This window comes from Homo sapiens, chromosome 4 (genome assembly GCF_000001405.40).
Source record: "Homo sapiens chromosome 4, GRCh38.p14 Primary Assembly".
Taxonomy (NCBI): domain Eukaryota; kingdom Metazoa; phylum Chordata; class Mammalia; order Primates; family Hominidae; genus Homo; species Homo sapiens.
This window is the reverse complement of record NC_000004.12, coordinates 151,246,806-151,257,407: the sequence shown is the minus strand read 5'-3', so window position 1 is coordinate 151,257,407 and position 10,602 is coordinate 151,246,806. Positions and strand designations below refer to the sequence as shown.

The following is a 10,602-nucleotide window of genomic DNA, read 5'->3' as shown; positions in this document are numbered from 1 at the left end:
ATTATTACAATTGAGTTATCTCCTGGGCATGGTGACTCACTCCTGTAATCCCAGAACTTTGGGAGGCTAAGGCGGGTGGATCACCTGAGGTCAGGAGTTCGAGACTAGCCTGGCCAACATAGTGAAACCCCGTCTCTACTAAAAATACAAAAATTAGCCGGGCATGGTGACACGTGCCTGTAGTCCCAGCTACTTGGGAGGCTGAGGCAGGAGAACTGCTTGAACCCGGGAGGTAGAGGTTGCAGTGAGCCAAGATCATGCCATTGTACTCCAGCCTGGAAAACAGAGCAAGACTTCATCTCAAAAAATAAATAAACAAACAAACAAATAAATAAATAAATAAGAAGAAAAGAAATTAACTAGATTAGGCCAGGAAGGCTCTGTGACTCATGCCTGTAATCTCAACCCAAGGCTGAGGCAGGCAGATCACTTGAAGCCACGAATTCGAGACCAACCTAGCCAAAATGGCAAAAACCCTGTCTCTACTAAGAAAACAAAAATTAGCCAGGGATGGTGGCACATGCCTGTAATCCCAGCTACTTGGGAGGCTGAGGCAGGAGAATCGCTTGAACCCAGGAGGTAGAGGTTGCAGTGAGCTGAGATCAGCACCACTACACTCCAGCCTGGGCAATAGAGCAAGACTCTCTATCAAAATAATAATAATAATAATTAACTTGAAGCTTTCTAGAGGCCAAGCCAAAAAAAAAAAAAAACAACAAAACAAAAGTGTACCATACACCTTATATCATCAGATAATAAGAACAATACTCTTTAGTCAGGAGAAAATTTTTCCCCATTGTAAAAAGCACATTGGTTAACATAATATGCAGTTCTATAGGGGACTGAGAAACATTCCTCATTTTTTATATTGTCTCTCAATGAATGCGAACACCATCATTTTGAATCATGATTAAGGCATTTCTGTGAAGAGTGAAACTAATTTAATTGAAGTATTTATATTTATTGTTATGTAACTTGAAACAAAAGTGGAACCTAATAGAAGATGTCTCTTTCCTCTTTCAAATACTTCTGCTTCCAGCTGTGCTTTGGCAAGGCCCATGTTCTCTCAATGGCCTTTGGACTTTCTCGACATTTTACATAAACAGGAATCTGACTTGTATTTCTGCACCTGTGGGAAGGATAGTTCCAGAGCCAAAAGTATCAAAGATCTCAAGATGACAAGTCTCATATCCCCCTATTTAGAAGAGAATGGATAAGGCCTCAGGACAGAAAACAAAAATAATATTGGCCATAATGCCCAGAAGTTGATATGATATTAAAGTATACAATTTATATATAGACAATTACAAACTCTAGAGGGAGAAAGACAGTTTAAAATCTTTATTATAATTCAAGGCTCTCCCTCTCCCTCTCCCTCTCCCTCTCCCTCTCCCCCTCTCTTTCCACGGTCTCCCTCTCATGCTGAGCCAAAGCTGGACTGTACTGCTGCCATCTCAGCTCACTGCAACCTCCCTGCCTGATTCTCCTGACAGCCTGCCGAATGCCTGCGATTGCAGGCTCGCACCGCCACGCCTGACTGGTTTTGGTGGAGACGGTGTTTCGCTGTGTTGGCCAGGCCGGTCTCCAGCCCCTAACCGCAAGTGATCCGCCAGCCTCGGCCTCCCGAGGTGCCTGGATTGCAGACGGAGTCTCGTTCACTCAGTGCTCAATGGTGCCCAGGCTGGAGTGCAGTGGCGTGATCTCGGCTGGCTACAACCTCCACCTCCCAGCCGCCTGCCTTGGCCTCCCAAAGTGCCGAGATTGCAGCCTCTGCCCGGCCGCCACCCCGTCTGGGAAGTGAGGAGCGTCTCTGCCTGGCCGCCCATCGTCTGGGATGTGAGGAGCCCCTCTGCCTGGCTGCCCAGTCTGGAAAGTGAGGAGCGTCTCCGCCCGGCCGCCATCTCACCTAGGAAGTGAGAAGCACCTCTTCCCGGCCGCCATCACATCTAGGAAGTGAGGAGCGTCTCTGCCCGGCCGCCCATCCTCTGAGATGTGGGGAGTGCCTCTGCCCCGCTGCCCCGTCTGGGATGTGAGGAGCACCTCTGCCCGGCCGCGACCCTGTCTGGGAGGTGAGGAGCATCTCTGCCCGGCCGCCCCGTCTGAGAAGTGAGGAGACCCTCTGCCCGGCAACCGCCCCGTCTGAGAAGTGAGGAGCCCCTCCGCCCGGCAGCCGCCCCGTCTGAGAAGTGAGGAGCCTCTCCGCCCGGCAGCCACCCCATCTGGGAAGTGAGGAGCGTCTCCGCCCGGCAGCCACCCCGTCTGGGAGGGAGGTGGGGGGGGTCAGCCCCCCGCCAGGCCAGCCGCCCCATCCGGGAGGGAGGTGGGGGTCAGCCCCCCGCCCGGCCAGCCGCCCCGTCCGGGAGGTGAGGGGCGCCTCTGCCCGGCCGCCCCTACTGGGAAGTGAGGAGCCCCTCTGCCCAGCCAGCCGCCCCATCCGGGAGGGAGGTGGGGGCGTCAGCCCCCCGCCTGGCCAGCCGCCCCTCCCGGGAGGTGAGGGGCGCCTCTGCCCGGCCGCCCCTACTGGGAAGTGAGGAGCCCTCTGCCCGGCCACCACCCCGTCTGGGAGGTGTGCCCAACAGCTCATTGAGAACGGGCCAGGATGACAATGGCGGCTTTGTGGAATAGAAAGGCGGGAAAGGTGGGGAAAAGATTGAGAAATCGGATGGTTGCCGTGTCTGTGTAGAAAGAAGTAGACATGGGAGACTTTTCATTTTGTTCTGTACTAAGAAAACTTCTTCTGCCTTGGGATCCTGTTGATCTGTGACCTTACCCCCAACCCTGTGCTCTCTGAAACATGTGCTGTGTCCACTCAGGGTTAAATGGATTAAGGGCGGTGCAAGATGTGCTTTGTTAAACAGATGCTTGAAGGCAGCATGCTCCTTAAGAGTCATCACCACTCCCTAATCTCAAGTACCCAGGGACACAAACACTGCGGAAGGCCACAGGGTCCTCTGCCTAGGAAAACCAGAGACCTTTGTTCACTTGTTTATCTGCTGACCTTCCCTCCACTATTGTCCTATGACCCTGCCAAATCCCCCTCTGTGAGAAACACCCAAGAATTATCAATAAAAAATAAATAAATTTAAAAAATAAATAAATAAATAAATAAAAATAAAAAAAATAATAATTCAAGGTATCCTTTTGGTTTACAAAGTGACTAAATCTTCTAAGCATAAACTATTGTCTAAAAATTTTAAAGTAATTCTAAATAGTTTAACATATGTGATCAGTTACAGAAGCCTGATAGTGTTTTACATTTGCCTGACATTTTCATTCACACAGAGGGTAACGCATGTTTTCATTCCCTTTATAGATGAGGAAACTGAGGCCCTTGGAGGTTAAATGGCTTAACTAATTATACTGTGCAATAACAAAGCTGGGCGTCACTTCTATTTTCTTGTCTGTAATCATACTCAAACCCAGATCTTCTAAGTCATCATCTAGTTATCTTGCTACAGCAGCCTCCCAAGTCCAGGAAACCTCATTTGTTTGTCCAGCAATCATTTATTCAATACCCACGCCAGGGACCGTTTTCTAGAATAGAGGTATGAAAACATAGAAAAAGCCTCTGTCCTCGTAGAGGTTGTATTGTAGTTGTAAGTCAGAACATGACAAGTGCTTTTTTGTTGTTGTTGTTGTTGTTGTTTTCTTGTTTTTTTTTTTTTTTGAGACGGAGTCTCGCTCTGTCGCCCAGGCTGGAGTGCAGTGGTGCGATTTCGGCTTACTGCAAGCTCCGCTTCCCCGGTTCACACCATTCTCCTGCGTCAGCCTCCTGAGTAGCTGAGACTACAGGCACCTGCCACCACACCCAGCTAATTTTTTGTATTTTTAGTTAGAGACAGGGTTTCACTGTGTTAGCCAGGGTGGTCTCAATCTCCTGACCTCGTGATCCGCCCGCCTAGGCCTCCCGAAGTGCTGGGATTACAGGCGTGAGCCACTGTGCCCGGCCAACAAGTGCTTTGTTTAATAACAGGCTTAGATACTTAGGGATGCTGGAGTGGGGCATAACTTTTAAATAGGGTGGTCAGACAAGGCATCACTGAGGTGATTTCTGAGCAGAGACCTGAGAGGTAAGAGAGGAAATGAGCCAGGTGGATAACTGAGGGAAGAGGGGTTGAAGCATGGAGAACAGCAGTACAAAGTCCCTGAGGCAGGGGTGTGCTTGGAACGTTTAGGAAACACTATGGCCAGAGCAGAGTGAGGGGCTCCAGCGGTGAGAAATAAGGTCACACAGGGATTGGAGGCCAAATGATGTAGGCTCTTGCAGGCTATTGTGAGGACTTCGGTTTTTATTCTTAGTAGTATGGGAAGATAGTTGATCTGACTTAAATTTTAAATGAATCAAACTGGCAAGTAGATTGATAATGGTCAGGGATAAAAGCAGGGAAACCAGGCAGAAAACTATTGCAGTGAACTGGGCAGGAGGTGATGGTGGATTTGGACCAGGGATATAGAGAAGTGGTAAGAAGTGGCAGATTCCAGTTGCATTGTGAAGGTAGAACACACAGGACTTGCTGATAGATTGGATGTGGTTGTGAGAAGAAGACAGGAGCCAAGGATGACTCCATTTGGCCTGAGCCATTGGAAGAGTGGAAGTACTGTTTACTGAAATGGGGCACAGTGTAGGAGGAGAAGGTTTCTGGAGGGTAGATGAAGAGTTCATTTGTAGGCATAAGTTTAAGATGCTTGATCGATGTCTAGCTGGAGATGTCCAGTAGGCAGTTGAATATATAAATCTGGAATTTGGAGACTTGGCCCAAACTAGGGCTAGATTAGGGTGTCATCAGCATGTCATAGTATTTAAAGCCATGAGATGAGATTAGGTCCCCTATGGAGTGAGTATAAATAAAGCCCACTGTGAATGCTAAGGATTGAGCCCACCTAAGTTTCATGAGATGAATAAGAACCAATAAGAGACTGAGAGGATAGTGGTGAGGTAGGCTGAGAACTGAGAGTAGTATCCTGGAAGCTGAGAAGAGAAAGTGTATCAAGGAGGAAAGTGATAGGCTGCCAAATGCTGCAAATGGCTGAGAACTGACCATCAGATTTAGCATCATGGAACAGGCTCAAGAGAGAATAAAAGGGGAGTACTTTGAGATAGAAAAAGTAGTTTTGCTGTAAAGGGAACAGAGAAACAGCTGGCAGAAGAGGCTGGGTGGCACAGTCTTTTGTTCTTGTTGTTTTAAGATGAGAGAAATTACATCCTGTTTGTGTGCTAATGGAATTATCCAGCAAAGAGGAGGAAATTGATGACACAGAAGAGAAAGCAAATAGTGCTGCAATGGTGTCCTTGAGCAGGGGACAGATCCCAGCTCACCAATTGGAAGGTGAGAATGCTTAGATTGGAACACAGACGGATTTTCCTACACAGGAACAAAGGCAATGGGCACAGATGCCACTTGGCAGCAGGTGTGGTGGTGGAATTCCTCTGCTTATTGTTTCTGTTTCCTCAGTGAAGCATAGAAATTATCCATTGAGAAAGAGGATGGGAATGGAGGTATTGAGGACTTATGGAGAAGTGTGCTAGTCATGTAGCAGTGAGGGAGATGAATGAACTAAGAAAATAATAGTGTGACTGCGGGGCAGCTGAAAGGATCCACTTGAATTAAGTGAAATTGGCATAGTTGTGTGTTCACCAGTGCTGCTCAGCAACATGGGTAGAGGCATGGAGAGAGCAGAGAGTTGGCTGCAAGCAGGGTGAGGTTTTCAGAGGAAGGTATGAAGAAGGGTGGACAGGGGAGTGATTATAATGAGAAATCACTAACTTAAGCTGGAAAGGAGGAAAGTAAGCAATGAAGGGGGTGTAGAGAGTAAAGCGAGATAAAGTCAGTAGATTATAAATCCTGATGGAGTAGAAAATTATTGGAATTGGCCTTCTTGCTGTAAGGAGTTCAAGAAAGAACAAATGGGCCATGTGCAGTGGCTCACACCTGTAATCCCAGCACTTTGGGAGTCCAAGGCTGGTGGATTGCTTGTGATCAGGAGTTCGAGACCAGCCTGACCAACATGGTGAAACCCCTGCCTCTACTAAAAATACAAAAATTAGCTGGGCATGGTGGTATGCGCCTGTAATCCCAGCTATTTGGGAGGCTGAGGCAGGAGAATCCCTTGAACCCTGGAGGCAGAGGTTGCAGTGAGCCAAGATCACACCATTGTACTCCAGCCTGGGTGATAGAGCAAGACTCCGTCTCAGGAAAAAAAAAAAAAAAGGAAAAAAAGAAAAAGAAAGAACAAATGGGTTGGCAAGGTGGGATGCTTAAAAATGAGATTCTGGAAAGGGTGCAGGTATTGGTTATAACAAGGTCAGGAAGACCATGGAAGTAGTGCCTAAGGTCTGGTGAAAAATCATTTAATCCTAAAGGCAGATTATGATGAAAAGGCAGTGAATGGAGGAGGGATAGGTGAGGGCTTCTCAGGAGTATTCTGGGGTCTGTGCCCTCCCTCCCTGCCAGAGCCCGTGAAACTTGAGACTGGAATGGATCCATCGGCCAACAGTCTTTGTTGACTGATCCTCAGCTAACGACGTATCCAGCCAAACTGTGCTCCTTTTTGGGCCGCAGGTTTCCATTTGGTTCACAAAAGCATGCTGGGAGACTTTGTGTTAGGAATTGTGTACTGACAACCAAAGCAGAATGCTCTTTATCTCCAGCAGACTGATGGAAAGAAATCTGAGAATTAATAGCTGTTATTAAAATATTAATAGGTTTGACTCCTCTTCTTCTGGTGCCTGCTGGGCATAATATATGGTTGGGTTTTTTCTTTACAATTACTAAAAAAATTTCAACACCAGAGAAATGTATAAGGTAAAATAGAAAGTTTTCTTCCTTATTGTCTCCACTTCTAGCACCTGATGGGTTGTTTGTGAGCATCATTCCAGATCTCTCTCTCTCTCTCTTTCTTGTCTTGCTGTATATCCATATATATTTGTGTGGGGTCCATATACACATGTCTGTATATAATATATATACACACACATATATATAAATATGTATATATTTTCATCACAGGAAAACATGAGAATATTCTATATATCATTCTACATGCAACTTAACTTTTTTCAAAGTCCTTCCATGCCACTATGTACCGACCTGATTACTGTTCTTTAAAATAGCTGCATAACATTCCACATACAGAAGTAACCTAACATTAAAATCATGCCTGTGTTGATGGACACTTAGATTTTCTTTATTTTTTGCTGTTATAAATTATGCTTCAGTATATATATTCTTTACCCCTCTTTTTGAGTACTTGTGCAATTGTTTGATGTGGAAGTATTAAAGAAAAGACAATCTGCATTTAAAAATTTGACCTCTATTGCCACATTATCCTCCAAAGAGATGGCACCAATTCACAGTGATGGAGAACATCCCTTTTCCCATGTGCTCATTCACACTGATTATCTCTTCCCCCAGTCCCTACATTTTGGCCAGTTTGATGGGACCATCAGGAGAAAATATTTTAACTCAAGCATACGGCACTAATTTGGGAAGAATAACTGAAATTCAGGAATTAGAAAATAGGAATATATTTTATTCTTTTTTACGTAGAGGATTGAATATTAATATTTCTCCAAAATTTAATTTAAGACTTTACTTGAATAGATCTGGCCTTAACTAATTGCTGAAAGAGGAAAGTGATCAGGGGAAGAAAGAGAGAGTAATGAAAGTCATCAAAGCATTAAAAAGGTCAGATCTGATTTCTGTTCCTTTGTTCCTGAAAATGTTGTTTCTAAATCTTTTTTTTTTACACGAAGTTTACAAAAATTGCAAATTTTGTGCTAAACCCTTATGAGATACTGGTTTCAGATTTCATATGAGTTTAATTCTGAGTTTGTGGTGATTAAGTTGGAAAGAAGTTTTATGTCAATATTCAGGTTTTTGGGATCTTTAAACTTTGACCTATTTTGGAAAGAGGGACCTGTAATAGTATATGTTTAATACATAATAGTACAGATTTAGAGTTAATAGCATTTTTCATTTGCTCGTGCTAATTCTATACAGAATATTTTATTTATGATCTCCATCCAATTAAAAGTCACATTTCTTACTGATCACTTGATAACTTTCTAATACTTCTTTCACAGAAACATTTGAAAACAAGTCTTAAGTATGAAACTAGAAGAGCCAATTATAAATCTTTTATTGAACTAAGAAAATATTTTTAAATATTGTGACTTTTACAGATACAATCAATATATACCTAACATGAAGTGTATGGACAGACTCTGAATACGTGTATGAGTATATGTGTGTTTTGAATACCTTTATTGTGAATTTATACTTGTCAGCACAATAATTACATACCCTTGAGTGTTTTATAGTTGGGCATTCATGTAAGTACACATCTGTTTAAATCTCAAAACAATCTTGCAATATGCACTTAAATGTTTTTGAGGCTCACTTTATGTCTTTGAGTAGAAGAAGAAAAGTAACAGATGGCCAACAAGGATATTGAGTTGACAAGAGAAAAACTTAACTTAGTTACTTTAGTTCCTGAATTTAAAAAAAAATTAATCAGTATAAATTCACTCTAAGGAAATCTTGGGAGTATGTTTCCATTGAAGTGCGTTGTTTGCATTTTGTTTTGTTTTGTTTTGTTTACAAGGGGGTGCCAGGCAGGGAGGAGGGAAAGAAAGAGGTAAGAGGAAGAATATATTGGACACCTATCTAGTGGTTGTTGGACCTGAAATTTGAACCCATGTGTATGGCTTCAAAGTCCATGCGCCTTCCACTTCTCCAAGAGTTTGCTTTCTGTTGACCTTTATCAGTGGAAGAATTTCTCAATGCTGAGAGCAATTTTTCCAATACTCTTAGATCTAAAAATGCTACTGACTGGATTATTCATGTTTGAACATGTAAAAATATTTTCTTGTTAAATTAAGTTTAATCTTATACTTAAAGTTCGCTGTGTTATGGAGAGAACTTTGAAGCAAGAATCAGAAATCAAATAACACTAATGCTTCCTAATTAGAGAAATCTCTATTCAATGCAAACTAAAAATATATTGGCTGGTGTTCTAATCAGCTGTGCTTAATTCTAAGCACTAAATTCTGAACACTGTGGGTAAAACACTTTGTTCATTTCAGAAATAGCTAGACTTTTCCTAAACTCTCATTAGGAAAAATAGAAGAAATTAAGAAAATAAAGCTGGGCACGGTGACTTACACCTGTAATCCCAGCTTCTCAGGAGGTTGAGGCAGGAGGGTTGCTTAAGGCCAGGAATTCAAGACTAGTCTGGGCAACATAGCAAGATCCCATCTCTAAAAACAAAAACAAACAAACAAAAAAAAAAAAGTAAAACATTAAAAAATACCTTACAGTTTGAAAATCTGGTCAACATGAAGTAAAGAATAACAGCAATGTCATCTGTAGGCAGGGTGGTTATTGTGATCATATTTTGATATTAGCTTCCTATTGCTTGCTGCCAATGGGGCTGTAAGGAATATGTGTTTATGGAAGTCTCAGCGCTGATCATAGGAAGATGAAAACAGTCATACTGTTTGTTTTTTCCATAAGTACCAGGTAGCTTTAATGAGCTATAAGAAAATTATACTATTTGTGCAGAGTACCACATTCAATTCTTAAAGTTAAATATTTTTTATATAGTATAGTCACATTATATACAATACATCCAAGATTTATCTCCGCTATCTTATTTAATCCACATAAAATAAACATGTCTGTTTATATACATTAAAGTTATAGAGCTGAACTATTAAAATGGAGGAGCTGGTGATGGCAGCAGGGATTGACTGCAAGTGGGCACAAGCGATCTTTCTAGAGTGATGGGAATGTTCTAAAATGATCTCATTGTGATGATTGCACAACTCTGTAAATTTACTAAAAATTATCCAATTGTACATTTCAAGCAGGTAAATTTTATGGAATATAAATTATATGTAAGAATCTGTTTAATTTTTTAAAAGAAATAGAAAATATATGACTGTATCTGACTCCAGAACTCTTAGAAAATCTGAAAGAACAGTTATTATTGATGAAACAAAGAAGTTGTCATAGAGCTACCCTCCTTTCCCTCTCCTTCAGAGTTTGCAAAGAAATTCTACCAAACTTTTAAGAAACAGATTATTCTAATGCTATTTTAACTGTTCTAGAACATAGAAAATGAAGGAAGGCTTCCAGTTCGTTCCTTTTTATGAAGGTGAAATAACATTGATATTGAAACACAGAAAATATATTTCTCCTAAAAGAAGACCAGGGACCAATTTTGCATGTGAATATTGAAACAAAAATCTGAGAGAAAAATTATAAAAATTTTATCATTTTATAGAATTCAGGATCACATTTGAAAAATAATACACAAAAGAAAAATAAGAAAAGTAATACACAAAACAGCAATATGGTGTAATGCTAAAGAGTTTCAGCTCTGGAGCTGGACTGCTGGTTTGGAACCCCAGCACCGTCACTTCCTAGCTCCATGACCTTGGGCAAGTTTAAACATGGATCAATCCTATGTAAATCTTGTGCCATTCAGTATTAACTGCAGGTTCTATGGGGCCGAAAAGGAATTATTTGTAGCAGCAATGTCATTACTTCTTTACTTATGATAAGCAGAATAAATAAAACAATGAACCCATCCATTATA

General features: G+C 42.1%; 1 protein-coding gene and 1 long non-coding RNA gene across 5 annotated transcripts in view; both read left to right on the top strand.

Annotated features, from left to right (window-relative positions):
- LOC124900799 (uncharacterized) overlaps nucleotides 1-10,597 on the top strand; it is a 28,348-nt gene extending 17,751 nt beyond the window's left edge. Inside the window, exon 2 of the long non-coding RNA XR_007058328.1 lies at nucleotides 1,040-10,597. This is a non-coding gene — a long non-coding RNA (uncharacterized LOC124900799). The remainder of the gene's footprint in view (nucleotides 1-1,039) is intronic.
- The window catches only part of SH3D19 (SH3 domain containing 19), a 205,325-nt gene that overhangs the window by 68,198 nt on the left and 126,525 nt on the right, over nucleotides 1-10,602 (top strand). The gene's annotated exons all lie outside the window — the stretch shown is intronic.